General features: G+C 49.0%; 1 protein-coding gene across 2 annotated transcripts, besides 1 other annotated feature; it reads left to right on the top strand.

Annotated features, from left to right (window-relative positions):
• Positions 1,058-1,559: an enhancer, noted in NCBI's record as "H3K4me1 hESC enhancer chr21:48026033-48026534 (GRCh37/hg19 assembly coordinates)". NCBI's record gives its function as "activates a minimal SCP1, AML or CMV promoter by ChIP-STARR-seq in naive H9 embryonic stem cells {active_cell/tissue: H9 hESC(naive)}" and the evidence as "EXISTENCE:reporter gene assay evidence [ECO:0000049][PMID:30033119]".
• On the top strand, positions 2,597-9,075 carry S100B (S100 calcium binding protein B). Of its 2 annotated transcripts, none has more exons than NM_006272.3 (3): positions 2,597-2,666; positions 5,263-5,401; positions 8,176-9,075. In NM_006272.3, the coding sequence occupies exons 2-3, from the start codon at positions 5,264-5,266 to the stop codon at positions 8,314-8,316; spliced, it is 279 nt and encodes a 92-aa protein (NP_006263.1). In that variant the 5' UTR covers positions 2,597-2,666; position 5,263; the 3' UTR covers positions 8,317-9,075. The 2 variants fall into 2 exon arrangements, with proteins under 2 accessions (NP_006263.1, XP_016883913.1); XM_017028424.3 differs by having other exon boundaries at positions 5,256-5,401.
• Positions 9,076-16,871: the final 7,796 nt, after the last annotated feature.

Genomic DNA, 16,871 nt, shown 5'->3' with positions numbered 1-16,871 from the left:
GAGCCACAGTGCCATTTTTGGTTCCCAGGAATTTATGTCAATTGAGGCAATCCCTGAGACATCTAGGTTACTTCCTTTTCATTAGTTGATGGCTGCAGGACACTTCAGAAAAGGTGTGGAAGAGGGTTTATGGTATTCTTTCTCACTAGCACAGATTCTTTCTCAAGGGGCCTTGGCTTCTCCCTTCAATCAAGATGCTCTAGGTCTGACCCAACTTAGGTCTGGAAACTCGGAGAGAGCCCATGATCTCCACTGTGGTGATTCAAGTTAGGTACTTCGGTGACCAGACCTAGAGGTTTTCCTGTTGTGTGGATTAAAGACTACTCTAGCGACTGTCCATCTCTTCATTCTAAGGAACACTGTGAGCAATTCACCACTGCCAAAAATCTCTGTGGACCAAGGCATTCTGATTATCGGTGTGTTCCTTCTGCTGTTTATGGCTGACATGCCCACCTTGTCTTAGCCTGCTACTCTGAAATATTATCGTCCCGCTGAAATCAGAGGTCTAGTCTAGCAATCCACATGGTCATATGTAGGCTACAGACCATGGAACTTTTCAGGTGTTCCACTCACTCAATAATGCATTTCTCATTACTTAGCGAAGGGTCTTCCTGTGGAATGTAGCTGCAGGGGGTGGGTGAATGTGGGAGTCACACATGATTGGATCTGGTGGCTGTCCAGTCTAATGGGATAAGATTAAAACTGAGGGGTCAGGACAGGTAAGCCAGGGTGATCAGGAAGTGTGAAGGTCAGGGAAAAACACCCAGAACAACCCTGCAAAGTAGGGACTACGGTCACCCCTTTCACAGAAAGGCTTAGGAATTTATCCAAAGTCAAACCACTGTTAAATGGTGGAGCCAAGATTCAGACCCAGCAATTGTAGGAATCTGTGGGAAGCTGGTGAGGTTGTATCCACGAGCTCCTGGGGAGCCTGGGCAAAGAATACCATCCTGGGGCCCCAGAGCGCTTGAAAGCCCTTTTCCTCCCTGTGGCAGATCCTCTCTCTCAGCCTGCTTCCAAGACCTGGGAACAGGGTGGACCCACGGCCCCACACTTGCCATCCCAGGAAGCTGCAGTGTGCAGAGGGCAGGCCCGGCTGGGCCCTCCTGCTGAACGCAGTGCCCTAAGCACAGGTGTACGGTCATTGCATGAGTGGATTTCAAACTATTTTTAACCCCTGCAGGAGCAGGCTAGAGCGTTTTCTATGGACACTGAAGGGTTAATCCAGAGCTCAGGCTGCCACTCTGGGGAAGTGGTCAGCACTTACAGGAATGGTCCCTCCAACATCTGAGCGAGGAAGGGGCACAGAGCACAGTTGTGCCTTCCTTGGGCCTGGGCAAGCTCTGTGCTTCACAGAGCAAGCCTGTGTCAGATCCTTCAGCAGAGACCACAGCCAGGGGTGGTGAAGCCGATGAGGAAGTGAGGGCCAACCACACTGCTCAGGCTGTTCCTCACAGGAGGCTGGGGCAGGCTGAGCCACGCAAGACCACAGCTCTCAGCCCTGTGCTATTTCCAGGGCACACTTACAGATCCTGAATGGTAGAGAACGTCCTGGATAAAACAATGACAGCAAGACAGCCATGTACACAGATATCTTGTGGGAAACCCTTTCACGGCCACTTTGAAACTGGGTTGGGAGAAGGACGTGATGCTGGGTCAGGCATCCATTGGGGACCATGGACATTTTTGGAGAGTTTGGGCCAATGTTCTTGTGTAATTTGTCAGAAGGAACACCTACTTCTTCATTCTTGTGAAGAAGAACCCATAAACTGGCCCCCGTGTTCAGAGGCTCCAGTCGAGCGAGTTGAGGGGACAGCTGGACTTCTCCTTCCTCAGGCTGGCTGGAGGCTTCAGCAAGGGGGCACACCGTCCACACGCCTCTGTAAAACAGCGTTCGAACGGGACATCTCTAAGGCATCGTCCAACTCTGAGAGTCTGTGACCTTCCACCCTGGGGTGGAGGGAAAGGCCTTGGGATACAGTCCACACATCACGTTTTCCCCTAAAAGTACCACCCGTTTTAGTCCCTGCAGACACTGGCCTCAGCAGCTTCTCTGAGGCAGCCCCGTTGAGCCCAGGGCTGACCACAGACAAGCACTACTGTCCACAGAACTTCACGCCCAGTGGGGCCAGACTTGGAGGATGGCAGAGGAGAGAAGCTCCAGGGGCCTCTCCATTAGAAACCAACTTGCAGGCCACTTAATCTCCTATGCTCAGCCTGTACTTGGAAGCTGCTTGTTCTTGGCTGCACATTTGCTTTGTTTGAATCAATTAATCCAAGTCTCTCTCCTCTCCCCACCCCCAACCTTGCCTTTAGGGTGACATCAATATTCATGTAATAAAGAAATCGCACAAAAAGCTGACTCCCCACTTCCTGCCCTACAGGCCCTTTTTTCTTCCTCAGCCCATGTGCAATCCTGGCTCCCAGCAAGTCCCCGGGGCTGCTTGGTCAATGCAGCCCTGTGTGCAGGCCTGGCAGCCCTGCCACCCCCGCCTTCGGCTCCCATTGGCTGCCACGGCCTGCAGTGGGCTGCACCAGGGTTCATCCATCCTCCCTGGGCAGAGGGAATAAGAGGCTGCCTCTGCCCACCAGTCCTGCCGCCCAGGACCCGCAGCAGAGACGACGCCTGCAGCAAGGAGACCAGGAAGGGGTGAGACAAGGAAGAGGTGAGAAAGAGCCAGGCCAAGAGGACGCTCAGGAAGAAATGGTTCTTTTCTTTTGGGTGGAACGGAATGGAGGGGTAGAAACTAAGTGGTAGCTTAAAAAGCCCCTTTAGGACAATTGGCAGCATTTCAGAAGTGTCAATAGGATGATGTGTTTTAATCTCCACATTACTGCTGCTTTGTGGACACCTGACTGCATCAGCCCTAGACAGCTAGAGGTGTGTTTTGCCATAAATCAGAGAAACGTCAGGTTTCATGGCCCAGAAGTGATTGTTGACATTTTCCCAGCGGTACTACAAATACTGCCTCTTCTGTAACTATTTGAAGAGTAAAGATTTTGCTTCCCACTGGGGCTAAAAATGATGGAGAACCTAATGCTAGTTTAGTCCTATATCATAAATAAATGCTTCCCTTTTCTCCTTATATTTCTTCCACCGCCCTGGGTAAGTAACTCTTCAGTTTTCCAGTTTCCCTCAGTTTGAAGTGCCAGGGTCCCCACAGCCCCAGGACGCCACTCAGAAATTACGTAACAATTACAAATAAATTGGGTCAAAGAAATCGGGGTTTTGGTGGGTTTTAACTTTCCTCAGTCTCACAGTTTCTCAGGGAGGTCGAACCCCTTCTTTAGAGGGATCCTCACACGCTAGGTAACTTGTCTTTCTAAGGAGTTAAAGTTCAAAAGTTCTCTTGTTCTCAATATTAAAAGATTAATGTAGGACATTCAAAGAATGTGAGAAAGAAACGGACATTTATTTCCATTTCTCTTAAAAGATAAACTATAAACCATCAACTATTTCTTAGGTCAAAGGGAAAAATTTAACAAGAATTTAATTGATTTGTAGTGTGGTTATGAAGAAAACCATATTTTCTAGTGGTTTCTATTAGTGTTCTAATATATGGGATACATGTTTTATGCCTTTCCTTTGTAATAATCCCATTAGTCACAATTCATAGAAAAACAATTTAACCTCCTTTTCCCCAAATCATCATGGACTTTGAGGAGCATCAGAATGATGTAAAAGTGTCTTGTTTTGTTTAAAAAAATACACACACATACAAACATGCATATATCAATAATTGAAAACTTGAGTGCAAAGAATAAGAAAGCATGAAATGTTAAAGATTTTAATCCATCTTAATTGTTCTATTTGTGAATTATCAAATTTTTAGGGACTCAAGAGCAAAATAAAGTACACTGATTATTAATAGAATGACTTTAGCAAAGATCTGGCCAGTATAAAAAAATCTTCAATCCTGTTTCCTTCGGAGGATCAGAAATAAATAAAATAATTCCAAATTATTTTTAAGATGTAAGTTATATATTCAACATGGGAATGATTTTTCAACACTATTTGATTTATTAATTTGTTTTTAATTATGACAGCGCAAACGTTCTTATTTAATGATTAGAACTCAAGGCCAAAAGCTGGTAAATTTCTCTGACTGCGCATCTGTTTTGTGAAACAACTGACAAGGCAACCTTTGTAAAATGCGCCTCATTCCCAGACTGACCAGATATTTCCTTGGTTCGTAGGCTGTGGCGTAAGGTACTTGCTGTGAGGGAGGTAGGGGGGCTCTTACTTTGACAGCTGCAGAGAAACACCTATTCCTGCCCCCACCCCCTCCCGCCGTCCCAGTCACTGCAGTGAATGAGCCACCCTTTCGGTACACTGGAGGTGGAATGCAGGCTCAGCAGCTCAGCTTTCTGCTGGATTCTGTCCCTCCCTGCGACAGAACCACACCCATTTGATCAGTTAAACTTAGGATACATTTTTTTTTCCTGGTAGATCAAATAACTTTCACTGTTATTCTTCAAAAAGATTGCGGCAATTCTACCATATTTATTTTTCCTGATGAATTTTACAGCTGTTTTTGTCATGTCACCCATCCAAAAAAATTCCATTGTTTTTATTAAAAATGATTTAAATTTACATATGAATTTAAAGGAAAAACTTCCTACATTTTATGTTCCTCAGAATCTCTTGGAAGGACCTACGTTTTTCTTCCTAAACTTAGTCTTAGATCACATGTTATTGCTATATGCATAGGATATTTTGCACTGTATTTTCTACTTCTTTACTGATAGAATATAGGAATGCTATTGATTTTTTGTCTTCTTATTTTGCTCCTAGTCACTGTCTCACTTTCAGATTGATTTTAACAGCTTGCAGTTGATGGTTTGCTCACCTGCACTCTACCACCTCATCTTGGAGCCTTGCAGGAACAGAGAGGGACCCTGTGGGGATTAATTCAGGGGAAATTAATCCCTGAATTCCCTTGCTGCTCTGCCTCTGTATTTTTGCCAGTTTCCCTGTTGGCCCAACCCAGCCAGAATTCAGAGGGCATGGGAATATATCCCCGTGGCCCACACGGACAGAGAAGGCAGGCCCACAGCTGTCTAAGAGGCCGGTGGAAGGATTATGATAAAAGTGCAAATTCCCAGAATGCCCCTCCAGGCCATGCCTGCTGCTCTGAGCTTGAAAAGAGTGCCAAGGCCATTCCATCCCCCTTGTCTGGGTTGAGGTCTGTATTGATAACATATGAAATGTTTTAGGATGAGGTATAGATGAGAAGGCAACTTTCCTTTGCGAGCCCCTAGGATGTCTGAGCTGGAGAAGGCCATGGTGGCCCTCATCGACGTTTTCCACCAATATTCTGGAAGGGAGGGAGACAAGCACAAGCTGAAGAAATCCGAACTGAAGGAGCTCATCAACAATGAGCTTTCCCATTTCTTAGAGGTGAGTCTTGCTTTTTAAACTTGACACTTTCTCCATCTCCTCTTAAAATCCATCTGTACACTGGCTTTATCTTCTCAGCTGCCCTGAAGGTGATTTCATTTCCCTTCCAAGACTCCTGGGCTGCTTCTGCAAACTTGTTTGAGTAACGGAACCCTCAGTGTGGGGCTGGCTCAAATGAGCCCCTTGTTTTCATTTCCTTATCAACCATCTTGTGTACAGTAGGTGCATCAAGGTCCCAAAGGCCAAAGCGTCCCAAATAATGCTAGACTCATTACTTACCATGGACCAAAGGGAACATAAAAGGAAACTGTTAAAAATAAGCTTTGGGAATGTTTTTAGGAAAAGGATATATTTTGGCTTTAGCTAGAAGTTTAGTATTTGCTATGGAGATAAGATATGCCAGACTTTCACTCAGTAAACACTGACTGAGCACTAATTAAGAACTGTGAGATATGCAGGCACGACAGACATGGCTTCTGCTCTGGGGCACCCAGCCTGGCACATGGATGAATGACCATGACTGGCTTAACTGAGGACGTGACAGGGGTCTGTACACATCCTTTGGAAGCCCTGGGGCTTTGCAGGAGGCTCTGTGGAGTAACGGATATTGGTGAGGAACTGTCTTTAGTTGGGGCCCCTACTTTAGGAAGCTGTGTGGGGGCTCCTGGCAAGCCCTGTTCTTCAGGCAGTTCCCGCTGTGGCTTGTGGTGGAAGTATGTCCAGACCCTTGCATTAGGGCTCATTTTCCTACCCACCGTCTCCACTGTCCTTGGATCAGACCCACCTGTCTTTACTGCCCACCTCATGCCCTCATGGAAGTGAACTGTGATCCCCCTGGTACCTGATGCTCTCTTAGAACCAAGGCTGGCTTGAGGCACGCCTTGAGCCAGAGTGAAGCACCAGTGGTGTGCACATATGAAACGTAGTGAAGGGCTTCCTGGGTCACTGATATGAGCAATCACAAACGGGATAAATGACCAGACAATGAGCCAGCGCACTAGTGTCTCACCAAGCCCTATTCCAGGATAAATACCAGGGCAGGGCTCTGCTGCATGGGGACGGGGAGCTGCCCTCCTGAGCTGGCCAAGCCTCTCAGTGCAAGACGGCAAGCCCTGGCTCCAGCAGCACGGCAGTCCGTGTTTTCAGGGCAGGGGGAGGGGGCGCTGGCTGGTTCTCCTGTCCCCACTCCCACCAAACACTGCCCCACCGTGAATGGTTCAGAGTGGAGCAGACAGGCCTGAAACTTTGCAGAGGGTGTCCCCACATCTGATTCCAGGACTGGTTTTCTCAGGCATTCAAGCCGACAGAGTGACAGCAGTCCCACTCACACATGCAGTTTTCTAGTTCCACCAATCTTGCCTTCTGACTTGATCTGAGAGTCCCAGGTTCTTCTTCTGAACAAGGGCTGTTGTGAGGGTGAAGCGGGACAGTGCTTAAGTGCTTAACATATAGTGAAAGCTCAACTAATAGTAGCTACTATTATTATTTTTATACATAGAAAAAGCTTTGCACTTGGGAATTTCAATTTGTAAATGATAAATAATTCATGGTAAGCATTTCAAGGCATCACAAACATTTGCTGCCCTGTTTTATCAAGGTAATTTCAGTTCGGAAGCAGATGTATAATATAATTGAAGTTAGTGCCCTGCTCCTGCCCATCCACAGGTGCCTCCCCACCTCTACCCCCGTGGAGTTACAATCTTCTGTATGTTTTGTTTACTTTTTTAGTTTTTGAGATAAGGTCTTGCTCAGTCACCCAGGTTGGAGTGCAGTGGTGCAATCTTGGCTCATTGCAGCCTCAACCTCCCAGGCTCAAGCGATCCTCCGCCTCAGCCTCCTGAGTAGCTGGGAATACGGGCACATGGACCATGCCCAGCTAATTGTTTTATTTTTTCTTTGTAGAGATGGAGTCTCCCTATGTTGCCCAGGCTGGTCTCAAACTTCCTGTGCTCAAGTTATCCTCCTGCCTTAGCTTCCCAAAGTGCTGGGATTACAGGTGTGAGCCACCGTGCCTGACCCCTGTGTGTCTTATAGCCAAGGCAGCTGTTGTACATTACACTTGACTTCTTCAGGCCAAGCCTTCCTATCCCGGAGAATTGTTACTCTGCATTTATGCTCTTCATCAGTGTTCAATACCCAAATTTTTCCCACCACGTTTGTAGCCCTGCACTGTGGTTGTTCCTCTGAGGCTGTGCACATCACTTAACAGCCACACCATTCATTTGGCTTCAATGTCAGGCAGAACTGTCAGGAAAAAGTTTCATGACACCTAGAAAGCAATTCAAGTGGGAAAAAGAATACAGGGTTAACAAATGTAGGCCACGTTCCCAAGAGTTACTTCAGCAACAAAGAAGACTTTCAAAACATTAAATTCCACTGGAAGCCTTTGAGACAGGGACTTCCACACACAGAACACACGAAAAGTTTAGGAGGGCCAAAAGTTTATTTTTATTTCAAGACATTTGCTCAGGCTGATCTAGATGGTATTTTTTTTTTTCAGGTATTTTAAGTATGATAACAACCTTCAGTTTTTCACCTCTTGGCTGTTCCATTCAGCCTTTTCCAGTAGCTCAGGGCCAGACACTGACCCCCAGAGATTTCTGCTTGGACAACAGCCCCCTGGTCACATGAGACATCTTTTCTGATATTTTGCATTTGATGTTCTTAGGTTATTTCGGACACAAATTATCAGAGTCACTCAACTTTTAATCATGTTTTGATGGTCCAAAATTCCATTTAAAAACAAGGTCGGCAACTCCTTTTATCTCTCTTAGGAAATCAAAGAGCAGGAGGTTGTGGACAAAGTCATGGAAACACTGGACAATGATGGAGACGGCGAATGTGACTTCCAGGAATTCATGGCCTTTGTTGCCATGGTTACTACTGCCTGCCACGAGTTCTTTGAACATGAGTGAGATTAGAAAGCAGCCAAACCTTTCCTGTAACAGAGACGGTCATGCAAGAAAGCAGACAGCAAGGGCTTGCAGCCTAGTAGGAGCTGAGCTTTCCAGCCGTGTTGTAGCTAATTAGGAAGCTTGATTTGCTTTGTGATTGAAAAATTGAAAACCTCTTTCCAAAGGCTGTTTTAACGGCCTGCATCATTCTTTCTGCTATATTAGGCCTGTGTGTAAGCTGACTGGCCCCAGGGACTCTTGTTAACAGTAACTTAGGAGTCAGGTCTCAGTGATAAAGCGTGCACCGTGCAGCCCGCCATGGCCGTGTAGACCCTAACCCGGAGGGAACCCTGACTACAGAAATTACCCCGGGGCACCCTTAAAACTTCCACTACCTTTAAAAAACAAAGCCTTATCCAGCATTATTTGAAAACACTGCTGTTCTTTAAATGCGTTCCTCATCCATGCAGATAACAGCTGGTTGGCCGGTGTGGCCCTGCAAGGGCGTGGTGGCTTCGGCCTGCTTCCCGGGATGCGCCTGATCACCAGGTGAACGCTCAGCGCTGGCAGCGCTCCTGGAAAAAGCAACTCCATCAGAACTCGCAATCCGAGCCAGCTCTGGGGGCTCCAGCGTGGCCTCCGTGACCCATGCGATTCAAGTCGCGGCTGCAGGATCCTTGCCTCCAACGTGCCTCCAGCACATGCGGCTTCCGAGGGCACTACCGGGGGCTCTGAGCCACCGCGAGGGCCTGCGTTCAATAAAAAGAGCGCAGCTTGGGAGGCCGAGGCAGGTGGATCACAAGGTCAGGAGTTGGAGACCAGCCTGACCAACATGGTGAAACCCCGTCTCTACCAAAAATACAAAAAGTAGCCTGGCGTGGTGGCGCGTGCCTATATTCCCAGCTACTTGGGAGGCTGAGGCAGGAGAATCGCTTGAACCCGGGAGGTGGAGGTTGCAGTGAGCCGAAATCGCGCCACTGCACTCCAGCCTGGGCGACAGAGCAAGACTCCTTCTCAAAAAAAAAAAAAGCGCAGCAACAGCGATCCAGCGCCATCAAAAGGCAACGCAAGCAAAAAACGCGGCTTCCCTTCTGCCCCCGCTAGGGGGAGGCTTCCCCGGGGGCGTCCAGCCACTCCACAGGGGACTTCCGGCCTGTTGGGTCACATGTTCTTCCCTAAGCCAATCACCAGGAAGGGGAGCTGCCAATGGTCCCGGGCAGTCACGTGCCTTTCCACAATGCATGCTGGGCCACCAGCCCCATTCCCGGTGTTCACTGCGCTCCCCGTGGTCCTTGGCCTCCATCTCAGAAAGCTCACGTTCCTCAGGGTCCCTCTGTGCCTTCTGAACAGTAGCGGGTAAAACAGGAAGTCCTGCCTGTCCCAGGCAGTGTGGGAGGCCCGGAGGCTCGCAGGGCCCGAGGCTGGGTGGGGCAGAGGTAGGAACCACAGCTGTGATGGCCGAGAGATGGGTTGGTGAGAGGGGCCTGGGAGAGGCCGGAGGGGACCCAGCGAGGCCACTTCACATCTAGCCACCTGGGGAGTCCCCAGGGCCCTGTGCTCACTTCTCGCTCAGCTCTCGCCTTCTGGAAATTCGTGGTTACTTTTGGCCAAAGGGCGATGTTTTCATTTCGCACCGGGCCCTGCAAAGCTGGTCCTGGTGCATGCTCTGGGCTGGCGGGCAGGAGACCAAGCTTGGGAGGCCCAGGGTGCGACCTTAAGTTGGGGGGCGGGAGGGGCGCTGCTGCCGGGGGGCAGCTCTGGGCTGCCCTTGGCTCGGGTGCCCGCCTCCCACCTGCATTCCTCCCCAGAGGATGCTCTGCCGCCTCGGCCGGAAGTTGAATCGGCCCTTCCAGAGCCTCTTTTGCCCACACTGATCCAAGAATCCTAAAGTGACTAAGTCCCCAGAAGCCTACTCTGCTTCCAAACCAGATAGGGAGAACATTGGTCCTCCAAGGAGCTTGGCTCCAGCACCATCCCTCAGGGATTCCCAGGGCAGCTTCTGAGCACACGGGGGCTCCTCCACCATCCAAAGGGGGTCTGGGGGGACTTATCCAATCAACTGCCGTTAGTTCCAGGCTGTAAATGCCAACCGTCCTCTCCTGGCAATCCCTAGCTGAGTGTGGCCCGCCCTCACCCAGAGGCACCTTCCAGTTCCATGAGTGGGTGGTGGTAGTCGCCACAGCTTGGTGGCCAGCACAGGCCTGGCCTACCCCAAAGGCTGCCTCCAGCATCCCCAGGTGGACAGGGGATGGGCCCGGGCAAGGGGGTGGGGGAAACCCGCCCCCAGCTTTGACCAGGAACACATGGAGTTCGCTCAGGCCTGGAGAGCAGGACCAGGTGTGAAAAGTCTGTTTTCATGAACCTGTTGCCCAGGCTGCCATTTCCATGGCCAGTTCAGCCACAGAAATTTTCTGTGCTCCATCAATTTCTCCGTTTGATCCACAAGATTCTGGGCCACAGCCACTTCGCAAATCTGGCCCTGCCAGCAGTGTTGGTCTCTCAGGGTGGAGACCCTGGGGCCAAGCTGAGGACCCCATTTGTTGACTTGCAGTGAGAAGGTGCTGTTGAGAAGTTGGGCTGCAGGAACCCACCATCTCTGGACGCTGCGGACCATCCTCTACAGGGGCTGCTGTCCCTGCCAGAAGTACAAGCAACACAATTGCCAGACTTTCCTGCCACCAAAAGGAGGAATCATCATCTAATAATTGGATTGCGGGGGGTAAGGCCTTGGGCCCCCAGGCAGTATCTGGACATACCCCACCTGTACCCACCAGCAGGGACAGAGACAGCAGGAAGGCTATTGGGCTCTCAAGCCCTGGACTATGTGCCCTCCTGACCCCATGCCCCTGCCTGGGGAAAGGGAGCAGTGAGGACGGAAGTGGAGAGTTGGTGATCCTGGGCTCCCCTGGCCCTCTGTCAAGCTCTGGCTCTCTCTTGTCTACTGTTCCAGATCCCCACCTCTGCAGGGCCCCAGGCCTGTTCAGCCAGACCCTGCTCCTCTTGCAACCAACAAGGGAATCAAATTTCCCCCAGGCTGGCTGGGGCCCTACTTGGGTATCTCCACTATGGGCAGTTTGTCTCCACAGCATGACACCCTGTGAGCCCATGGGCCCATTACTGTTCCCTGCAGCTCTGCCCTGTGAGGCCCCATCCTGGTCTCCAAGGCAAAATGGGGGCCCTTGAACCCACATGCCCCCAGCCAAGACCCTGGAGAGAGTTTGGAAACTTCGTAGGAAGTTGTGGGAGACACCTTGGTTTGTTTGCTTTTGTTTTGGGGTTCTTAAATTTAGGGATTCCACCCTTATCTTGTGCAGACACAAATCAGATTTTTGTAATTGCAGATAGATGGAAGTGTTTGGGCATCAGAGGAAGGTTCCACTGGCCCTTCATCCAGTGGGACCTTCTACACACAGCTATTACGTTCTGCTCGCAATGGAGACACCCAAGTAGGTTCCACTAGCCCTGTCCCACAAGAGCCCAGCTATTGCCTGGCAGTATTTCTTTACCAAGAACTGGGCTGCCTTGGGGACCAGGTGGGTGAGCACAAGGGATGCCTGGCCTCTCTGTCCTGAGACCCCCCTTAATTATGACCCTTACAGCCATGTCCACCAGCAACCTGGCAGGCAAGACAATGGCACAACCTCCTTTCACTGCATTTAGGGAGAAAAGGGCTGGCCTCTCTCTGAAGGAGTGCAGAAAATACACATTATTCAAGCAAGTTAGCATGAGGCAAGCCTAGAGCTTTTACACAGGGCTGGATGTTGAGCAGAGAGCTGAGGATGAGGTTGGCATTCTTCTCAGGAAAATAGCCCAAAGCCCCCAGGATCTAAACCTTGCAGGAAGGAGGCCAGACTTGGCTGGGCTAGAAGGAGCTTTTCTTATGTCTTCTTACCCCAGCACCCCTAATTTAAAATACAGATCCCTGAGGTGCGTCTCAGGTGTTCAGGAGGCCACTCCTGAACTTTTCCTCTTCTGTGAGGGGGTGGGGGACACTGCAGAGGGCATATTGGGTCCCATGGCCCCCTACAGCTCACTGCACAAAACTCTGCTGGGATCTTGCTACATATCCCAAGTACCAGGCCCCCCAGGTCTGAAGTGGGACCATGACTCCCTGGGGTTTTTAGCTGTGAGACTGATCAAACAAGAATTCAGGTGATTTTTTTCCTCAGGGAAGTTAATAACACCAGATCAGCAAGACAGCACTGTCTGCCTAGATTATACCTCTAGAGGAATTGTGACCATCCTCTGGGTGTACCAGCCCCCTCACTCAAGAGTTGACTGTGCAAGGCAGAGAGTGGAAAAGGCCTCAGCTTCTCTAATACCCAAGGATTCCTGAGCAGGGACATCACTGCCTTTGCCCAGGCTTACAGTAGCCAGGCCCCTCTGGACTGCAGTCTCCTCATTCAAGAAAGTAGGAGTGTTGGGTGGTGTGCAGATAGTGCACTAAAGTGCACCCCACCCTTTCCTACTGGTCTTCACATCTTGTGAAATCCCCAGCCCCTGGGTGTTCCTGATCTCAGTTGTGAGGAAGGATCCATTAAGTATCCATTGAGTATGTTAACTGTGGGTTTTTGTAGTTGCCCTTTATCAGGTAAATTTCCCTTATATTCTTAGGGTTTTGGATTTTTTTCAAAAGCTTTTTCTGTGTTTACCGAGGTTGATGCAGGATTTTTGTTGTTGTTGCTGCTTTGCCAGCTGGAAGCTTCTTTAGCCAGCAGGACCTCTGTTCAGTTATTCCCATCACCCCACTCTGGCCCATGGCTCCCAGGCTGGCCTGGCCCCACCAACACTCCCATTGCATGGGCCAGCTGGCATCAGGGGAGTAAAGGAGGGCTACAGTGTTACAGCTCCTTTTTGCACCTGCTGTTCAGCGGGTCCCAGGTTCTTGTCCCGCGTCCAAGAAGAATGAGGTTATGCAGACAACCAAAGAGTGAGCAGGGCGGAGAATTTTATCGAGTGACAAAACAGCTCTCAGCAGAGAGGGGGACACGAGTTGGGTGCACTACCCTTACCCAAAATCAGGTAGTCCTCCCTGTGCCTGAAGGTGGGCAGTCCCTGCAAGTGTGGCTGAGTCCGGGGCCTTTTTTTTTTTTTGGATGGAGTCTCGCTCTGTCGCCCAGGCTGGAGTGCAGTGGTGCGATCTCAGCTCACTGCAAGCTCCGCCTCGCGGGTTCATGTTATTCTCCTGCCTCAGCCTCCCCAGCAGCTGGGACTACAGGCGCATGCTGCCACGCCTGGCTAATTTTTGTATTTTTAGTAGAGACGGGGTTTCACCGTGTTAGCCAGGATGGTCTCAATCTCCTGACCTTGTGATCTGCCCACCTCGGCCTCCCAAAGTGCTGGGATTACAGGCATGAGCCACCGCACCTGGCCAAGTCTGGGGCTTTTATGGGCTCAGAATGGGGGAGTGTGTGGTGATTGGTTTGTGAGTATGCAAAAAAGGCTAAAACAAAGGCACCACTCAAAGATGGAAACAACAATGTAAAAATGTAAAAAAAAACAATTAGGGAAGGGTAGGTATATGTAAAATAGGTGAAGGGTGGGGGTCAATCAGAGGAAAGCACATCAAATGGGAAGAGAGGTTCTCAATCCGGTCCATGGATTTATCTGAGATTTGGAGCTTGGCATTCAGGTTTTTTTTTCCTTTTCTGTAGCAATTTTTAAATTTTATTTTATTTGCATAGGTTATTGGGAAACAGGTGGTGTTTGGTTACACTAATAAGTTCTTTGGTGGTGATTTGCGAGATTTTGGTGTACCCATCACCCGAGCAATATACACTGCACCCTATTTATAGTATTTTATCCCTCACTCCCTTCCCACCCTTTCCCCAAGTCCTTGTATTAGTCCATTTTCACACTTCTGATAAAGACATACCTGAGACTGGGCAACATACAAAGGAAAGAGGTTTAATGGAGAATTCACAGTTCCACGTGGCTGGGGAAGCCTCACAATCATGGCAGAAGGCAAGAAGGAGCAAGTCACATCTTATGTGGATGGCAGCAGGCAACGACAGAGTGAGAGCTTGTGCAGGAAAACTCTCCCTTATACTAACCATCAGATTTTGTGAGACTTACTATTATGAGAACAACACAGGAAAGACCTGCCCCCATGATGCAGTTACTGCCCACCAAGTCCCTCCCACAACACATGGGAATACAAGATGAGATTTGGGTGGGGACACAGGCAGACCATATCATTCCACCCCTGGCCCCTCCCAAATCTCATGTCCTCACATTTCAAAACCAATCATGCCTTCCCAACAGTCCCCCAAAGTCTTACTTCAGCATTAACTCAAAAGCCCACAGTCCAAAGTCTCATCTGAGACAAGGCAAGTCCCTTCTGCCTATAAGCCTGCAAAATCAAAAGCAAGTTAGTTACTTCGTAGATAGAGTAGGGCTACAGGCATTGGATAAATACAGCCATTCTAAATAGGAGACATTGGCCAAAATGCTGGGGCTACAGACCCCATGCAAATCTGAAATCCAGTGGGGCAGTCAAATCTTAAAGCTCCAAAATGATCTCCTTTGACTCCATGTCTCACATCCAGATCACACTGAGGCAAGAGGTGGATTCCCATGGTCTTGGGCAGCTCAGCCCCTGTGGCTTTGCAGGGTACAGCCTCCCTCCTGGCTGCTTTCATGGGATGGCATTGAGTGTCGGCAGCTTTTCCAGGCCCACAGTGCAAGCTGTCTGTGGATCTACCATTCTGGAGTCTGGAGGATTGTGACCCTCTTCTCACTGCTCCACTAGGCAGTGCCCCAGGAGGAACTCTGTGTGGGGGCTCCAACCCCACATTTCCCTTCTGCACTGCCCCAGCAGAGATTCTCCGTGAGGGCCCCACCCCTGCAGCAGACTTTTGCTTGGGCATCCAGGCATTTCCATACATCTTCTGGAATCTAGGTGGAGGTTTCCAAACTTTAATTCTTGACTTCTGTGCACCTACAGGCTCAACACCACGTGGAAGCTGCCAAGGCTTGGGGCCGCCACCCTTGGGTAACAGCCCAAGCTGCACCTTGGCTCCTTCCAGTCACAGCTGGAGTGGCTGGGATGCAGAGAACCAAGCCCCTAGACTGCACACAACACAGGGACCCTGGGCCTGGCCCATGAAACTGTTTTCTCCCAGGCTTCCAGGACTGTGATAGGAGGGGCTGCTGTGAAGACCTCTAACATGCCCTGGAGACATTTTCCCCACTGTCTAGAGGATTAATATTCAGCTCCTTGTTATTTATGCAAATTTATGCAGCCGGCTTCAATTTCTCCTCAGAAAGTGGGTTTTTCTTTTCTACCACATTGTCAGGCTGCAAATTTTTTGAACTTTTATGCTCTGTTTCCCTTATCAAACTGAGTGCCGTTAACAGCACCCAAGTCACATCTTGAATGCTTTGCTGCTTAGAAATTTCTTCTGCAAGATACCCTGAATCATCTCTCTCAAGCTCCAAGTTCCAGATATCTCTACAACAGGGGAAAAATGCCACCAGTCTCTTTGCTAAAACGTAAGAGTCACCTTTGTTCCAGTTCCCAACAAGTTCCTCATCTCCATCTGAGACCACCTCAGCCTGGACCTTATTGTTCATATCGCTATCAGGCTTTTGGTCAAAGCCATTCAACAAATCTCCAGGAAGTTCCAAACTTTCCCACAATTTTCTGTCTCTTCTGAGCCCTCCAAACTGTTCCAACCTCAGCCTGTTACTCAGTTCCAAAGTTGCTTCCACATTTTTGGGTATCTTTTAAGTTGCACCCCACTCTACTGAATACCAATCTACTGTATTAGTCAATTTTTACATTGCTGATAAAGACATACCCAAGACTGGGCAAAGGAAAGACTGGGCAAAGGAAAGGCTTTACAAAGGGAAGAGGTTTAATGGAGAACTCAGTTTTACATGGCTGGGGAAGCTTCACAATCATGGTGGAAGGCAAGGAAGAGCAAGTCACATCTTATGTGGATGGCAGCAGGCAAACAGAGAATGAAAGCTTGTGCAGGAAAACTTCCCCCATATAATAACCATCAAATCTCATGAGATATACTATCATGAGAACAGTACAGGAAAGACCTGCCCCGTGATTCAGTTACCTCCTGCTGGGTCCTTCCCACAACATATGGGAATTCAAGATGAGATTTGGGTGGGGACACAGCCAAATTCTATCAGTCTCCAAAGTCCATTATATTATTCTTATGCCTTTGCGTCCTCATAGCTTAGCTCCCAATTATGAGTGAGAACATGCAATGTTTGGCTTTCCATACCTGGGTTACTTCACTTAGAATAATAGTCTACAATCTCATCCAGGTTGCTGCGAATGCCATTAATTCACTCCTTTTTTGTGGCTATACAGTATTCATATATATATACATCACGATTTCTTTATCCACTCGTTGTTTGATGGGCATTTGGGTTGCTTCAACATTTTTTTCAGTTGCGAATTGTGCTGCTATAAACATGCATGTGCAAGTATCTTTTTCATAAAATCACTTCTTTTCCTCTGGGTAGATATCCAGTAGTGGGATTGCTGGATCAATTGCTGGTAGTTCTACTTTTAGTTCTTTAAGGAATCTCCACATTGTTTTCCATAGTGATTG

The sequence above is a fragment of the Homo sapiens genome, chromosome 21 (genome assembly GCF_000001405.40).
Source record: "Homo sapiens chromosome 21, GRCh38.p14 Primary Assembly".
NCBI classification, from domain to species: domain Eukaryota; kingdom Metazoa; phylum Chordata; class Mammalia; order Primates; family Hominidae; genus Homo; species Homo sapiens.
Note: the sequence above shows the minus strand (reverse complement) of the source record. Positions and strands in the feature narration are given on the sequence as shown.